This window comes from Homo sapiens, chromosome 17, assembly GCF_000001405.40.
Source record: "Homo sapiens chromosome 17, GRCh38.p14 Primary Assembly".
In the NCBI taxonomy this organism is placed as follows: Eukaryota; Metazoa; Chordata; class Mammalia; order Primates; family Hominidae; genus Homo; species Homo sapiens.
The window spans coordinates 4,008,478-4,025,580 of NC_000017.11; the positions used below are offsets into that span (position 1 = coordinate 4,008,478).

At 47.5% G+C, this 17,103-nt stretch overlaps 1 protein-coding gene across 8 annotated transcripts in view, besides 1 other annotated feature; it reads right to left on the reverse strand.

Moving 5' to 3' along the window:
• ZZEF1 (zinc finger ZZ-type and EF-hand domain containing 1) overlaps positions 1–17,103 on the reverse strand; it is a 138,586-nt gene that overhangs the window by 4,033 nt on the left and 117,450 nt on the right. For 3 of the 8 annotated variants that reach the window (XM_017024383.2, XM_017024382.2, XM_017024384.2), the window contains 12 exons: positions 16,442–16,641; positions 14,232–14,351; positions 12,652–12,843; positions 11,192–11,292; positions 9,359–9,494; positions 8,894–9,253; positions 7,846–7,989; positions 5,870–6,038; positions 5,613–5,711; positions 4,972–5,137; positions 1,127–1,280; positions 213–477 (listed from right to left, as the gene is read on the reverse strand). In XM_017024383.2, the coding sequence (XP_016879872.1) occupies positions 313–477; positions 1,127–1,280; positions 4,972–5,137; positions 5,613–5,711; positions 5,870–6,038; positions 7,846–7,989; positions 8,894–9,253; positions 9,359–9,494; positions 11,192–11,292; positions 12,652–12,843; positions 14,232–14,351; positions 16,442–16,641 (2,006 nt within the window). In that variant the 3' untranslated portion in view covers positions 213–312. Of the gene's footprint in view, positions 1–212; positions 478–1,126; positions 1,281–4,971; positions 5,138–5,612; positions 5,712–5,869; positions 6,039–7,845; positions 7,990–8,155; positions 8,298–8,893; positions 9,254–9,358; positions 9,495–11,191; positions 11,293–12,651; positions 12,844–14,231; positions 14,352–16,441; positions 16,642–17,103 lie in introns of those variants that run through there. The other 5 variants (NM_015113.4, XM_005256561.3, XR_007065288.1 and 2 more) reach the window with 4 other exon arrangements.
• Positions 10,053–10,102: an enhancer, noted in NCBI's record as "active region_11531". NCBI's record gives its function as "activates an Ori minimal core promoter by ATAC-STARR-seq in GM12878 lymphoblastoid cells {active_cell/tissue: GM12878}" and the evidence as "EXISTENCE:reporter gene assay evidence [ECO:0000049][PMID:35858748]".

A 17,103-nucleotide genomic window follows, 5' to 3' on the forward strand; every position in this document is an offset into this window, starting at 1 on the left:
CTGAGCTCCTCAGTCAGTGAAAAGTGTGAAGCGTCCTGAGACCAAACAGCTGTCAGAAGAGGAGTTCCGCTACCAGAGAAGCAACTCACATCTAAAAATATGTGAAATCTAACTCCACGGAAACTTCAAGAATCAGCCAAACTAAATTTAAGGCATCGGTTGTTTTGGTTTTAAAGACACAAATTCTTCTGACCCCACAGTTTAGAGTGAATGACTCTGATAAATGGGGCTCGTGCATGCTCTCTGAGCACCAGGAGGAAGTGACTGAACTGGAACAAGCTCTGTGTAAGCTCCGGGTGGATTCTGTCCTACTCAGACGCAATGTACAGACCTTCTCTGCCCTGGCAATGGTGAGATGGTGGCGCCCCAGCCTGGGGGCCAGCTCTGTTGGGGTGGAGAGAGTACCTGTGCCGCACAGCGGAGAAGGTGGTCGTCCGTGGTTAGGGCCAGCAGGTAATCCTGCAGCACGCCAAGCTCCTGCAGAGAGAGAGCAGGGGCTGTGAGTGACAGCGCCAGATGCGCAGTGCAGCTCTCCCAGACCACCTGGGACACCTGCTTGCGAAAGCAGAAGCCTCTCATGGGCGGACGCTACTCACGCCGCCCAGCACCGCGTGGCACTGCCTTGCTCAGAACCCTGGCGGGAGCCAGGTGCCCGGTGCCGGGGTCACCTTTGCCTCCACCTGCCCTTGGGTGACCAGGCCGGGACCCCTCCTCAAGCCAGTTTCCTCATGTGTGAAAGGAGAGGGAAGCTAAAGAACTCTGAAAGGCCCTTTCAGCTCCCACATTCAATCAGTCTATTGTGCTGAGGGGAGGAAAAAAAGAGAAGGAAGCAGAAATAACCCATCGTTTTATTTTCCAAAACTCACTGTTGTCAAGGGCTGATCCCGGGCAGTTTCTCCCCCATTGGCTCTAGGCCTGACAAAATAAGCAATCTCAGAGCTGACCTGAGGGTTTCCCAGGCCTGGGAGAGGCGAGAGCCTCAGACTCTCAGCCATGCCTGTCCTGTGTGGCCTGTCGAGACCCTGGCCACTCAGGCTCGGATGAGGCAGCAGCTTCTGCCCTGGGTAGCAGAGGGAGCAAACGCACATGGAGGCACCGGGCTCCCTGCCCAGACCTCAGGCCTCACCTGGGCACGGTTCTCGGTGACGAAGAAGAGCTCAGTGAGGGCACGATGCAGGGGAAGGAGGATGCCGGGCTGCGTCACGTCCTCAAACAGGCCGTACTCCATGTGGGTAAAGAGCTGCCACAGGGGCTTCAACAGCGCAAGGTCACACAGGTCACTGCAGGAGGAGCCCCGGAGGTGGTCAGTTTACTGAGAGCCATGCCAAGGTCACATGGCTTACAGCTGGCAGGAACCACAGCTCAGACCCTCCCTCTCCCACAGCTGGTACAAATGATTATAAAGTCGCCTCACCTATGCTCCCCACAAAGCAGCCACGAATAGTCACCAACAGCAAAGAAGGAAAGGGGCAGAACCTAAACTTTAAAACCAGGCTCCAAGGGAACAGGAGGTCGGAAATGTGCTCACGGGGATTACTGTGCATCTTGAAAAATGGATGTTACGGGCTACACATGGTGGCTCACACCTGTAATCCCAGCACTTTGGGAAGCAGAGGTGGGAGGATCACTTCAGCCCAGGAGTTGGAGACCAACCTGGGAAATAAAGCGAGACCCTGTCTCTACAAAAAATTAAAAACAAACAAACAAACAAAACCCCAAAAAACAAACAAAAAAAAAACCTAGCTGTGTGTGACAGCACCCAGCTACTCGAGAGGCTGAGGTGGGAGGACTGCTTGAGCCCAGGAGTTGGAGGTTGCAGTGAGCCATGAGTGCACCACTGTACTCTGGCCTGGGCAACAGAGTGAGACCTTGTCTCTTAAAAAAAAAAAAGTTATGAAGACTTTCCAGTGACAGTGGGAACTCATCTCAAGATAAATATTAAATGAAAAAAAGCAAGATGTGGCCGGGCGCGGTAGCTCACGCCTGTAATCCCAGCACCTTGGGAGGCCAAGGCAGGCGGATCACGAGGTCAGGAGTTGGCCAGGAGACCAGCCTGGCCAACACAGTGAAACCCCGTCTCTACTAAAAATACAAAAAATTAGCTGAGCGTGGTGGTGGGCGCCTGTAATCCCAGCTACTAGGGAGGCTGAGGCAGAAGAATTGCTTGAACCCTGAAGGTGGAGGTTGCAGTGGGCTGAGATCACATCACTGCACTTCAGCCCAAGTGACAGTGTGAGATTCCGTCTCAAAAAAAAAAAGAAAAAGAAAAAAGAAAAAAAGCAAGATGTAAAACTACATATACAAAATAAAATTCAAAAATAACCTGCATATACAGCATTTTCTCTATGCATAAGAAAAACAACAGTAAACAGACACAACAAAAGATGCCACCAGCAGTTGACCCTATCAGCTTTCTAGGTTTTCTACAATGCTCACTGCTTTTATAAACAGAAAAGAACACTTAAGACAAGCGTGGTGGCTCATATTTATAGTCCTAGTTACTCAAGAGGCTGAGGTGGAAGGATCACTTGAGCCCAAGAGTTCACAGCTGCAGTGGCTATGATGGTGCCACACTGCACTCTAGCCTGAGCAACAGAATGAGACCCCACCTCTAAAAAAAATTAAAGAAAAAAAAAAAAGATGGCCAGGAGCGGTGGCTCATACCTACAATCTCAGCACTTTGGGAGGCTAAGGTGGGGGGATTGCTTGATCTCAGGAATTTGAGATCATCCTGGGCAACATGGCGAAACCCCATCTCCATAAAAAAACAGAAAAATTAGCTGGGTGTGGTGGCGTACACCTGTAGTCCCAGCTACTCAGGAGGCTGAGGGGAGGGGGGTCACTTCAGCTCGGGAGGTGGAGGCCTCAGTGAGTTGAGATGGTGCCACTGCACTCCAGCCTGGGCGAAAGAGCCAGACCATGTTTCAAAAAAAAAAAGGTAACGATGACTACCATTGTTATGATTTTCAGGTGGGCTTATGAAACACAAGATGCTTGCAAGGTTGCTCAGGCAGAAAGCTTTTCCCTAAGTAAAGCAGAGCCTCTGCTGAGAGAATGAACTGAGGGGTTTTTTTTTTGTGTGTGTGTGTGTTTTTACTCAGAGGAAGGCTGTGTTTTAATTCCAACTCAATATCCTTTGGAGAAGAAAAATTATGAAATAAATAATATTCTAGAACTTGTTATATGGCCATATATAATTATATAATATTGGATTTTGCTTTTTTTTAAAAAAAATTGCTTTTTCTCTTATGACTTGAAAAATTATTGTGTATATTTAATTGTTATCTTGAAGCCAATCTCTTTCTCCCAGAGGAATAAATCTTCATAAAACAAACAGGAAAATTCTGATAGCTTTCCAGCTGGGTTTTCAGAGAAGCATGAGCATGTGAGGTACAATGTACCTGCGAGCTGAGAAGGTCCCTCCCCTGAGGACTGCCCCTTGTGTGTGGCCTCCGGGCCAAGCCCTCAGGCAGGCCCCTCTCTCACTCTATGAGGAGCACGCATGAAAGAGGCTAGGGTGGCAAGGCATGCTGGGAGTTCCCTCCGGGCTCGGGACAGAGGGTGCGGGATTGTCCCCACTGGAAAGAAGGTTGCCAATGGCCAGCAGACTGTGCAGGCTGCGGCACAGGTCTTCTTTCCTGCTGCAGGCAAGAAGGGCCCACCAGCCAGGAGACCATGGAGATGTTCCATGTTTCATAAGCACTGCTCAACCAGACTGTGCTTACTGGACTCGACGCTCAAGTGAACAGAGCTAAGCCCATGTGGGGCTGAGTGATCCTGTCTGTGTATGAGGACACGGGGGTAACAGCAAGCATGCCCAGCTCTCCCCTCTCTCTCCACGCTGCTTATGGACTGACTACACAAGCCATCTTGTTCTCTCCCCTGACTTTGAGAGTCCTTTGTTATTTTAATGACAGTTCCATATTCCATGAGAAGACAACCTGTTACTTCAAATATCATCACTGCACTCTGGCTAGCATTCTGTGTGTCTGTGTCTGTGTGCCTTAGAAATGCAGGAAAGAGGAAGAATGAGCTCCTGACAGGGAGGGTTCTGAGCAAGGAGGGTGGGGGCCAGGCAGACAGACAACATATATGGCGCAGTCACTACCACCTTCTCTCACAGATGAGGAATAAGGCAATTATGTCTACAATTCCCAATTCAACACTATATGTCCTCCCTATAGCGCAAAAGGCAAGAACAGTGTCTAAGCATTGAGAGGAAGAAATAACATTTGTTTACAGATGACACGACTGTACACCAAATAATCTGCATATATAGTCTTAGAATGAACAAAGTAAGGTCACTGGATATAACGGCAATATACAAAAATTAATTGTACATCAGCAAAAACAAAGCTAAAATTAAAAAATACCAATTATAGTATCAAAAACATTAAATACCTAGTAATAAATTTAACAAAATGTTAAGTCCTCTACATAGAAACCTCTAAAATATTACTAAGACCTAAACAATAGAGGAATATAAATAGAGGAATATATAATGGCCGTGGATTAGAGGACTTGATGTTCTAAAGATCTTGACTCTCATCAAATTGATCTACAGTCGCACCACAGCACTCCAGCCTGCGTGACAGAGTGAGACTCTGTCTCAAAAAAAAAAAAAAAAAATCTATAGAATCAAGTGGAGATCCGAATGGAACAAAACTGACTTGATGCTTACCCCTTCTATCATACACTCAAATGCATTCCAGGCAGATACTCCTCTAAGTGTGAAAGGAAAAACAAGTTCTACAAGATAACAGGGAATATCTTCATGACCTTCGAGTAAGGCAAACATTTCTCAAATAAGACACCAAGAACGCTAGCATAAAGCAAATGACTGAAAAACTGGAAGACATTAAAGCCACAAATGTCTTTTCATCAAAGTCACCACTAACAGCAAGAAAGGGCCAGCCACAGAGTGGGGATACATATGCCTGGCAAAGGGCTGCCATCCGGGACACCGCTTACCTGTGGCCGCAGCATCGCACAATCCTCAGAAGTAAGTGGATGGCTTTTAATCGTTGATGGCCAGTCTGGCGACAGGCCACGCCCACCAGCCATTCCCAAATTTTTGCCAATGGGAGATGAGGCACGACCCTTTCTTCTGACAACATCTGCTTCAAAATCTCGAATCCTGGCCAACACCCCAAAACACGGATATATAAACAGAGATACGTAATAAGTAATATTATTATTAAATAAAGTATAACAATTGTGTACGTTAAGAATTCTACATTTTATAAACTGCTCAAATTTTAATAACTGTGATCATTTAAATTCTGGCTGAAATTAAGGCTTTTGTAAAAATAACACAGGGGTCATATTTCCAGTTCCTCCTTTTTTCAAAATGCCCTGGCAAATTCTAAGAGAATAAGCATCTTTTTCGGGTCCTGACAGAATGCTTCTCATAGCTGGCCATTCAAGTTTACAACTAGCCAATGAAATCACATTCAGGAGTGACAGGTGTGGGGCTTGTGAGACAAATTTGGAAAGTGTGAGAGACAAGTACCTGCTTTGATTTTAACCAAGATCAGTGACATCATGGCACCCACAGCCATGGAGTGTCCCTGGCAGGCAGATGGTGTGAACGCAAAGCCCAGAGCACACACCTGTCTGGAACCGCCCCAGGTGTCCGGCCGTCACGGTGAATCTGTAGCCCCACTCGGTGTTGCTCATGTCGGAGGTGAAGCGGTAATACAGAGTGTCTCCTAGGCACACAAGGATCAGAGGCCCATCAGGAACTGAAGCAACAGGGAATGGCAGCAGTGGTGTTGGGTTTCAACATTCTCCAGTAAGTTCCCTTCTCAATATTAAGTTTAAACACTGCCTGTGAAGAACCTATCTAATCGAGTATTTGTTTCACTACCTGGAAGTTCAAAATCTTTCCACTTCTGCTGAGACCCGCTGAAGCTGTGTCGGTCTTGCTGGAAGTCACTGCTGCTGGACATGGCTAACTCGTCACAGCCCTCCTCTGTGTTGCACTGAGAGTCGAATTTGATTGAGAGGTAGATGGCACCAGGAATGTGAACTTTATCCTAGGGAGGGGAAATGGAGAACACATCTGTCGATGCTGCTCACTAGACACTGACTGCAGCTGTCCCATGCCGAGTCCTGTGGCTGGACCCGGGTGTGTGAGAATGAGTGAACCACAGCCCTGGCCTCCAGGAGTGCAGAGTCCAGCTAGGGCGAGGAGCATGCACAGACTGCAAATATGGTGCGAGGGAGGCACAGCGGGGCAGGCAACACGGGGCCCCAGAGAAAGAGTGTCAGGCTGCTGTGAAGAGTGAAGAGGACAGGAGGACCCTGTTAGGAGAAGGCGGGAGTGGGAGACAAGGTGGACCTGAGTGCATGGGGTGCATTTCAGACAGGGTAACAGCCCTGTGAAGGTCTAGCATGTTCAGGGAATGGCAAGGAGCTTGGCGTGTTTGGAGTAAAGGGTGTGCTACATGGGCACGTATGCTTGGGAAGCAGGAACAGGGACAAGACCTGACTCCAGAGAGACTGGCAGGGGCAGACACTGAAGGCCCTGGGCATGAAAATGAGGCACTCAGACTCTGGACAACAGGGAAAACCCTGGAAAGCTTTGGTGAGGCTTGCACAGTGTAGCATCACTGACAGCTGGTGTGGAGCAAGGCTGGGCTGAGGCAAAAGTGAGGAAATCAGAAAGTAGCAGCAAAAGGAACCCCAGAGAAGGGCAACGGGTGTCCAGGGTCAGTGGAGAAGACAAGACCTCTTTGGGATCGAACCTGGTGGCTGACCACATGTGCCTGTATGGGACCAAGGGAGTGGGGCTGGAGCCCAGGAACATGACAAGAGAAGAGACTTGGAAGAAAGACAGGTTATACTTCTGAAAAACAAAATCTCAGCTGGCCAATAACCCAGTTCTAAATCGGTTTTCATCATCCACCTTCGCTGCTGCAGGTGCCTTCCACTCAGAAGTAGATGCCTGGGCAACTCCAACATTTCAGTTTTCTCTCCAACATTTTTAAAAGCGCTAATGGGGGCCAGGTGAGGTGGCTCACGCCTGTAATCCCAGCACTCTGGGAGGCCAAGGCGGGTGGATCACCTGAGGTCAGGAGTTAGAGACCAGCCTGGCCAATATGGTGAAACCCCGTCTCTACTAAAAATACAAAAATTAGCTGGGCATGGTGGCAGGTGCCTTTATTCCTGCTACTAGGGAGGCTGAGGCATGAGAATCACTTGAATTCGGGAGGTGGAGGTTGCAGTGAGCCGAGATCACACCACTGCACTGCAGCCTGGGCGACAGAGTGAGACTCCGTCTCAAAAAAAAGTGCTAAAGGGACTACATGGCCTTAAGTCAATGAGAATAACGGAGGCTGCCCCATTCCTGCCTCATCAAAATGCCTACCTCCCTGCCCAGGCACAAAGTTAAGGATGGAAAAGATGAGACTCTGATTCAGTTCTGGGAAATTTTAAAAAGGGGCTGTAGTATCCACGGTGGGGGCAGGTCATGAGGTGGCAGCTGAAGAGTGAGGGTCCAACCTGGACCACATTCAGACTCACTGTCTCACTGTGAAGCCAAGGACTCACTCTGAGGAGCCTGCCGCAGGGAAAGTAAAGCTCTCCTCCAGGGCTAGGTGGCCCATTTTCTTCTATTAAAACAAGAAAAGTCCGGAGAAGAGAAGACTTGCTTGTACAGAATCCCTGGCCTCAGGGAGGCAGACTGCAGTTTGTTCAAGGAAGCACTTTCCTGGACAGGTCTCTGCTGTCCAGCGGGAGAGAGCCACAGAGGGGCTGAGCATGGAGGGGCTGAGCACGGAGGGGCTGACGAGGTCTCTGCGGCTCAGTCGCTCTTATGGGGCCTGCCGGCCCCAGGCTTACCTCGAAGTTGGTGTTGTTGTTATACGGGTGTTTCGACTCCCTCACTTGCACCTCCATTCCTGGCTCCTCCATGAACTGGCATGCAGCCAGGGCCATGGTCCCCAGCATGTCCTCTCGGCAGCCCTGGAGCACTTTCTGCAGGATCTGGTGGGAAGCAGACAGATAAGGTCAGGGCCTGCAAGTGGCATCAGGAAGAAGGGACAGTTTACTTCAACCCAAGCTCCACCCAAAGGTGCTGGCATCATCTTAGACCTAGGACGAGCCTCTGTGACTCCACCACCCAAAACCAACTCCACCAGCCACCTCTCACTTGACCAGGCTCTTGGTGTCAATCAGGACACTGCAGTCCTTTCAGAATGATGCTACTTAGAGGTGGTCTGAAAGAACTAACTGAACCAATCATAAAGGGTCCTGGTCCTTGAAGGAGTCCCCAGCCAAGCAGGTGGATTGGCCTATGGATAAATAATGACCACACAATGTAATCGATGCCTGGAGTGAGGTGCAGGGTTGGGAGCTCTAGGTGGCAAGAACTGTGGGAGGACACGCCTATGCAAGGGCCTAGTAGAGGCAGGGTGGCTCCCTCTGTCCCTTCCGAAAGATAGATATGCTAGAGCAAGCCTGCCAGCACCTGCAGGGCTGCAAGGCCGGGAAAAGACCTCGAGGTCTGGTGGTGTTCTCAGATGGACAAAGCAAGGCTGAGAGGCCAAATGAACTTCCTCATGGACTGCGTGTGTGTGTGTGAAGGTGGGTGAGGGACAGGATCAAAAAGGAGCTACCGAATGTGCCTCAAGATTTCTGCACTTGGAAACTGGGAAGATGGCGACAAAGCTTTCTGGTTCAGCTGGAAATCGCGCTCAGGGCCCCTGAGTTCCTCACTAGCCCAATCCTTGGGAGAGGATACAGTGACCCTACCTTTGCTGCATTCACACCTGTCAGGGAGCTGCACAGCCACACAGGTAGCCTCGCTCCAGGAAGCACTCACTGGAGGAAGCCTGTGGGGCAGAGGAAGAACCTGGTGGGTGAGCACAAGCTCAGTCTGCATAACTACCTTCTCCCACTCATGCTTTTCTTCCAGCTGCATGAACATATCCAAAATGTAGGTCATATGGGCAGGGCCACTGAGCTCCAGGATGTCCTCGCTCACTGGCACGTGGCTAGGCCACTCGGCGAGCAGGGATGCAAGCACGTGGCGGGCGTACAGGACAGCTGTGGCCTCGTTCACTCGGAAGAGGTAGTCCCGGACAGCCCTCTTACTCTTGCAGTTCAGCTCCTTGTGCAGGAGGGCGGCGCTCTTGCTACGGCGCTGCTTGGCATAGCTCTGCTGCAGTTCGCTCTCTGTGCTGGAGATCAGCTTCTGGGTCACAGGGTTCGATTCAGCAGTGGCTTGGTCACAGCGTGCAGGCCGGGACTGCAAACCCAAGACCACCATTACAGAGGTCTAGCCTTCTTACAGTGGTGGTATGGGGTGGGGGATGGGGTGCAGATACTTTGGGTCCGAGGTCGGGTGACATACCAAGCATGGCAGGATAATCATGTCTGTATCCACAGCTTTGGCGCTCTGTTCTTCCAGCCTCAGACTCTTACTGGGCTGCCACCGCTGAGCCAGGGACCGTATCCTTTCATCTGTGGTGAGCTCATCACCATCAAACCTGCAGAAGGGCAGCACAAAGTTGAGTACCAACAGTGTAGACAGGCCAGTTTTAACCTGCACTTAAACTTGTTGGCAATGTTCTTCAGAGTTGTTCTTCTGTTAGTATCAATGACATTATCATATTCCGTGTTTTGCCAACTGGATTCACAGCCTTCACTTATGCATGGATACAGAATGCATGTATGCTCTGTGGCAGGAGATGCAAACTCTCCTGCAAAATCCATTCTCCTTTTCTATCTTTTCCATTTTTAAAATTAATTTAAATGTTTTATTTTCATTAAAAAAACATTTTTAAAAAAAATTTATTTGTTTTTTTTAGAGATGACGTGTTGGAGCTATGTTGCCCGGGCCGGCCTGGAACTCCTGGGCTCAAGCGATCCTCCTGCCTGCCTCAGCCTCCCTAGTAGCTGCGATTACAGGCTCATACCACCATGCCTGGACTCCCCTTCTCTCCTTTTTTTTTTAAATTTAACAGAGTTTAAATGAGCAAAGAGTGATCCCCGAATTGGGCAGCTCCTGAATCAGAATGGGTTCAGAGTGACTCCACTGCTGTGGTTGGAGGTTTACGAACAGAAAAAGGAAACTGACACACAGAAAACAGAAGTGAGGTACAGAAACAGCTGGAATGGTTACAGCCTGGTGTTTGCCTTATTTGAACGCAGTCTGAACAGGTGGACGACTCTGGCCGAAACTCGGTGGCCCTTCTCTCTCTCTAAAGCTCCCTGAGTTTTAGCAAGAGCCACAGTCACCCAGCTAGAGACATGGTTAGCAGCTAGATGTGCTGATGCCCCTGGGTTCTGGGCAGTGCAGGTGAGCGAGGTGGTGTGCCACCTCTGGAGTCTACTGGACTAATGGTGCACTCCCTTCTCCACCTCCCCTCTTTCCTCTGGGCTAGAACCGAGAGGTGGGGTGGCCGAGGGAGCTTTCACTCCACAAATGAGAACGCTGGGATTGCTGGGTCCCTCTGTGGAGCAGAGCTGTCACCCACCCCAGACTCTGCCTACCTCTGGACTGTTATGTGAGAGAAAAACAAATTCTATCTGCCCTGATCCATTATATTTCTGGTTTCTTAGTTACCGCAGCTTAGACTGTACCCTAACTAATGCAACCCTGCTTCACCTCATAAAGGCTTTTAGGCAATATATAAGAAACTAATAAAAGAGAAACACGAAACACAAAATAAAAGAAAAATTAAATGAGAATTTACAATGAGTAAGAAGTCAAAATTAGGATACGGGGGATGGAGGAGACTGGATTGCAGATATGTAAAGTTCTACGCAAATTAAAAAGTTGGGCCCAAAAACTAGCTCTGAACTTCCTGGCCAAGAGAAAGGGAATGTTCTTAATTTTAAAAATATCTTGAGCAGAAGTTCCTGCTCTGTGCTGTCTGCTCCCTGGGATTACACATGAGAGACATCTTGGTGCCTGCCCAATTTCTGTGTCTGTAAAATGAGTTTCCTCTCAGAGGCCGACTACAAACATAAGTTTTAAAGAGGAACCACAGTGCACTTTGAAGATGATCCAGGTAACGTAGCACAGGCCACCTCCCACCTCGCCTTACAAAGGACTAGCAACTGCTTCCCGGCCTGTCGGAGCGTCGATCGATCCAGAAGCTGCTGCCAGGAGGCGCACACCCTCCCGCCCTCACATATTCTCTCCCTGGCCACACTTCAGCTGCACGGAAATGTCCCTTACCTCTTCTGAACCTCCAGGAAGAAATAATCGGTCTTTTTCATCTGCAGTTCGTATATGGCCCGGAGAATGTGCAGAGGGGCATTGAGGGCATCATGAGCCATCTGGAGGCCAGGGGAGGACGCAGACAAGAACCATTAACAGTGCTTCAATACGGTATTGATCAACTGAACTCAAAACTGAGAAGACAATATAGCAAAAGCTGCCACAGGTTATAATTGAGGAACATTATATGGGTAGTTTAAAAAGCATATAAAATTGTAAGCACCAAAACATGGACTATAACACCTACACTACGACTGTAACTTCAAAGGAAATTATAAAACACTAAAACCCCAAAGAAATATCCTGTCAACAAAATACAATGCTGACAGTAGATACTTACCACATCGTATTCACGGCTAGCGTCTCTATAACTGTTTTACACTCAAGTTTGACAACTAGCGCATACATAGGCACTGTATTTTCTTTTGATTTTTTTTGACACAGGGTCTCACTTGGTTGCCCAGGCTGGAGTGCAGTGGTGTGATCATAGCTCATACCACTGAGTACCCAAAAGCGTAGAAAGGCAAGAGGAGTTTTAACCTGCACTTAAACTTGTCAGCAATGTTGATCAAAGTAGTTTTTCTGTTAGTATCAATGACATCATCATTTTCTGTATTTTGCCAACTGGATTCATAGCTTTTACTTATTCATGGATACAGAATTGCATGTATGCTCTGTGCCAGGGGATGCAAACTCTCCTGCAAAATCTGTAAACTTGAACTCCTGGCCTCAAGTGATCCTCCTGCCTCAGCCTCCTGGGTAGCCAGGACTACAGGCGCATGCCACACCTGGCTAGTCTTATTTTTTGTAGAGGCAGGGTCTTGCTAAGTTACCCAGGGTGGTCTTGAACTCCTGGCCTCAAGTGATCCTCCTGCCTCAGCCTCCCAAAGTGCTGGGATTACTAGTGTGAGCCACTGTGCCTGGCTGGGATTTGCTTTTTCTGACATTCTACGCTACATTCTGTTTACTCTTCATTTAGTCACAACTTCTGAAGTCCAAGCCCTCATCCTTTTCATATTGTTCTGAGGAAGAATAGATTACCTAGTAAAGGTAAGAGTGTATTTCTGAGAAACTATGAGGAAGGAACTATCGTATAGAGTTCATGGACGAGCCTTAGGGCTTTAGTAAGCCCTTGAAATTCGTGCAAAATTTTACATACATGTTTGAATGTGTATTTTATGGGGAGAGAGGACCTAAAGCTTTTGAGTTTATAACCCAAAATATTAAGAACTATTGTTGTGGGGCTTTTCTGTTCTTCTGGATCAATTCTGCACAACATAAGACTGAGTCTTTAGGAAGTGAATTCTCAGGACAGCAGACAGAAGCATTTTCATGTTTAGGCTAAAACATGGCCCGGGCCAAAGAGAAGCCATCCCTCAGAAGCCCCTCCTAAGCCACAAGATGACTCAAGAACACACCAAGAAACATATTCTGGTGGGCTCATCCAGGCCCTCAAGGGGGTCCAGCTTTTTCTGCTCTGGGTCGCCAGGGCTGCTGACTGGCCGTTCCACCTCTTCCTCTCGGTCCCCTCGCTCATCCAGCTCTAGGTCTCCGTGCTCAGCCAAAGCGTTGATCTCCTTTTTTGAGGAGTACAGCATGATGGACAAAATCTACACAGAAAGAAAATCCAGCTGAATGTGAGCACTCAGTGGGCGGGAAGATGGTACAGTCCTTTAATCATGAAAATATTGGGCCTAACTTTTTAAGACATCAGAATCTACCTGAAGAATGTGAAATTAGAAAAGAAACACGAATGTATGTTTAATTACACTTTGTGACCGAAGAAATACTAACTGAACACTATGGGAACCTTTGTGTTTATTCACTTCCCCACAGATGGTATCAACTGCTATCGTCCTTTTTAGAACTTCTTTTGGCAAAATGTAAAGAGCCAGGGAAATGCTCATATGCTTTCACCCAGCAACTCATCTGTTACGAATAATGTAAAATATACAAAGTTATTTTCATAATATGCTCAGTGAAGCACTAATACCAAAAAAACTGAAAGCCACCTTCATGTATGATATGTAGCCATAACAAATATTATGAAAACTACATCAGAACCTAGAAAGCAGCCCACATGCCATCAATTTATTTGAATACGATGCTCATGATGCAGTCTAGATTTACACATGCAACGCAAAATGCATAGAAACAAAACGAGAAGGAGAAAATACACAAAACGCTAATGGCAGCTGTGTTTGGAATATAGAGTTTGGAGGGTTTTTTTTTTTCTTTTATAAAGTTTTCTGCAATATAGTTCTAATAATAAAAAATTTTAATTTAAAATATTCTCTAAGAATAAAAGTTCAAATACTCTCCAAATTATCCATTAATATGTTGTAGCACATTTTCCTTAAACCTAACCAAATCCTCTTCTGGCAATTGAGAGCTGTTTCTGCAGGTTCCAGCCTCTGCTGGGCTGTGAATGGCCGCTCACTCCCTCCTATGTGGCGGCAGCCTTTCCTGGGCCTGAATGGCCGCTCACTCCCTCCTACATGATGGCAGCCTTTCCTGGGCCGAAAGTTGGCACTGGGCACAGAAAGTCCACAGGGAACCACAGTAGTTCCGCTAAGAAAACTCTAAGGTCTACGGGGAACAGTAATAAAATTATAATGATCAACTAAAATCCTACGTACAAATAAACATAAGTGAGGACAAATTTAGAGACTGATTTTGGCTGAAAGCAACTTTAAAGGGAAATATGAATTCAAGGGTATACTTTATTACCATGATATAATGGTTAATCATGTGTTTCCATAAAATGCTTCTCTTCCACTGTTCTTTGAACAAACATTAAATTCATTTTCCCTGACAGGGGTAGACAGGTGTCATAATCCCTATTTCCAACAGGGAATACAGAAGCAAGGGAGTTTTCAACACTGTACTAAAGGAGTGTGCACAGGGCAGAAGCAGCTGGAACTCGGTGATGCTTCTAACTCCTAGGCCAGCACATCTGCACCAGGAAAGAGGAGCAGGAGTCCCTCTCGTCTCTTACTTCCAGGTCCCGGAGGAGCCACGTTTTACTAAAGCCAGTCCCTTTGCTGCACTTTTTCACCAGCAACTTCAGCAAATCGGTCTGAAGGAAAGTAGCACGGATCTCCTCAAAACCGTGAGCCTGCCAAGCAGAAGAAGAATGATGTGTGACTGCCTTGGAGTGAAGAAGGTACAACCTTAGCTGTAACTCAGTCTGTTCATTCACTCTTTCATTCATTCGTCCATTCAACACATACTTTTGAATGAAGCCTATTTTATGTCACACTCCCCTGCTCTAACTTCCAAAAGCTGTCTGGGGCTCTTTAGGCTAAAATCCAAGCCTCTGATCATGGCTGACAAAGACCTACAAGGTCCCTGCCTGCTTCTCCGGCTGCGCCCCACCTTTCCTGCATTATTCTAAAGCCTGGGAGGTGTTCTTTCTGCTCCTTGACCACCACGCTTGTTCCATTTTGAGGCCTGGAGCTTGCTACTCACTCCGCGTGTAATGCTCTGTCCAGTTTTCCCAAAGCTGACTCCTTATCTATCGGTTCAAATTTTACTAGAGAAAAAGGCTTTTTTTGACCCACAGCAGTTTTTCTCGCAGGCCCCCTGTTGTCTCTCTTGCCGGTCAGACCACAAGCTCCAGGAGAGCAGGGACCTTCTTTCTGGCTCCAACACTACATACTCAGTTCCATCTGGCCCTTGGTGCTCAACAAATATTTGCTGAATGAAGGATTCAAAGACAGAAATTATTGCTGCCCTTAGGGAGTTTATTTTCCCTTTCCTACTATGATGTAAACAATGGAAACAGTAGCACATTGTGATAAACGTCATGAACTAAAGAAACAGCAGGCTGGGCACCATGGCTCATGCCTGTAACCCCAGCACTTCAAGAGGCGGAGGTGGAAGGATGGCTCAAGGTCAAGAGTTCAAGAGCAGCCTGGGAAACTTAGCAAGACCCTGTCTCTCCAAAAAAAAAAAAAAAAAAAAAATTAACTGGGCATGATAGTGCATGCCTGTGGTTAGTCCCAGCTACTTGGGAGGCTGAGGCAAGAGGACCCCTTAAACCAAAGCATTTGAGGCTGCAGTGAGCCGTGATCACAGGTCTATACTCCAGCCTGGGCAACAGAGCGAGACCCTGTCTCAAACAAAGAAATGCCAGAGAAAACCCACAAACAAACAAACCAACCAACAAAAGAAACAGCAGATGAATGGTCTCAATTCTACAACTACAAACTCCCAGGGCTGGATCAGAGCTGAAATGCCACTGAGGCCAGCTGCTGTGGTGTTGAGTGCCCTCCATGACCTCCCTATCAGTGCTTCCACCGAACAGCCTTCAACTGAGCTCCTCCTTTCATGGATATCCTCTGTTGGGAAGATTATCCTAAAAGGGAGCTGACATATGTTTCCTTGAAAAATCATTCCTCCCAATCGCTGCCTCTCAGGTATGGGAAATTCTCATAAGTCAGCTGCTCATCTCCATGCCAAATATTGCCCAGGTTTTTTTTTTTTTTTTTTTTTTTTTTTTACAGAGGGAGTCTTGCTCTGTTACCCAGGCTGGAGTGCAATGGCATGATCTAGGCTCACTACAACCTCTGCCTCCCGGGTTCAAGTGATTCTCATGCCTCAGCCTCCCGAGTAGCTGGGATTACAGGCACGTACCACCACACCTGGCTAATTTTCTGTATTTTTAGTAGAGATGGAGTTTTGCCATGTTGCCCAGGCTGGTCTTGAACTCCTGAGCTCAGGCAATCCACCTGCCTTGGCCTCCCAAAGTGCCAGGATTACTGCTGTGAGCCACTGTGCCTGGCCATCGCCCAGCTTTTCAACTTGTCTACCTCCTTCCACTCCAACTGTCAAACCTGTTGCTCATCCCCTAGGAGGCTAGCTCCCTCTATTCTTCCCTTCATCTTCTATGATGAAGCACAGGAATTGTCATTTAGAGAGGAAAGTAAGAAACTTTTCAATTTTTCTTCTCGTCTGACAAAGTTGTGTTCCCATGAAGTAGTAGTATCAGATTCCTTGAAACAATGGAAAGACAGAGAAGCCATCAGGAAAATTGTATTTCCTCTTTGAAGTTATCTGTGTGTAAGGCCCACGCGTTTCTAAAAATAATCAAGATCCTATGGTTTACCATCCATCGAAATCAGATGGCATTTCCTCCTAGTTAATCCCCATGCAGATGTCAAATTATAGCCAGATCCACTGCCAACTGGAGAAGCTCCCCATTACCTTTAGTGTTTTATACAATCCTTTCAGGGCCAGGGACAGGACCCAAGTTGCTTCTACTGCCTCGGGACAATGGCTGTCCATGCTGCTTTGCAGAAGGTGACTGGCGATAAAGGCAAAGTGCTGGGAGTACTGGCTCAGCTGGGCCCGAGAGTCACCACACTCTTGTCCTCCTCCCTTCTGGACCAGCTGGTAGTCCTTCACTGAAGGGTGACATCAGGCAGAAAAAGAAAGGCACAAAAGTACAGTTCATGCTTCCAGCAGCTATTTCTTCTATAGTAACATGCCTTACTAAAGTAGGGACTGCAGAAACATAAATCTCTCGGGCTCAGTCTTAGCCAATAAAGCCAGCTTGCAGGTAAACACAAAAATAGTAATGGCTACCTATCCATCAAGCAACTGAGTGGGACAATTTGCATTCTTACTATTGTGCATAAGCAGGCCATCTCCACAGGTGTTAACAAAAGTTCTTAAAGATAGCATATATGAGGCCGGACGTGGTGGCTCATGCCTGTAATCCCAGCACTTTGGGAGGCCAAGGTGGGTGGATCACTTGAGGTCAGGAGTTCAAGGCTAGCTTGGTCAACATGGCAAAACCCCGTCTAATAATACAAAAATTAGCTAGGTGTGGTGTCACACGCTTGTGATCCCAGCTACTCAGGAGG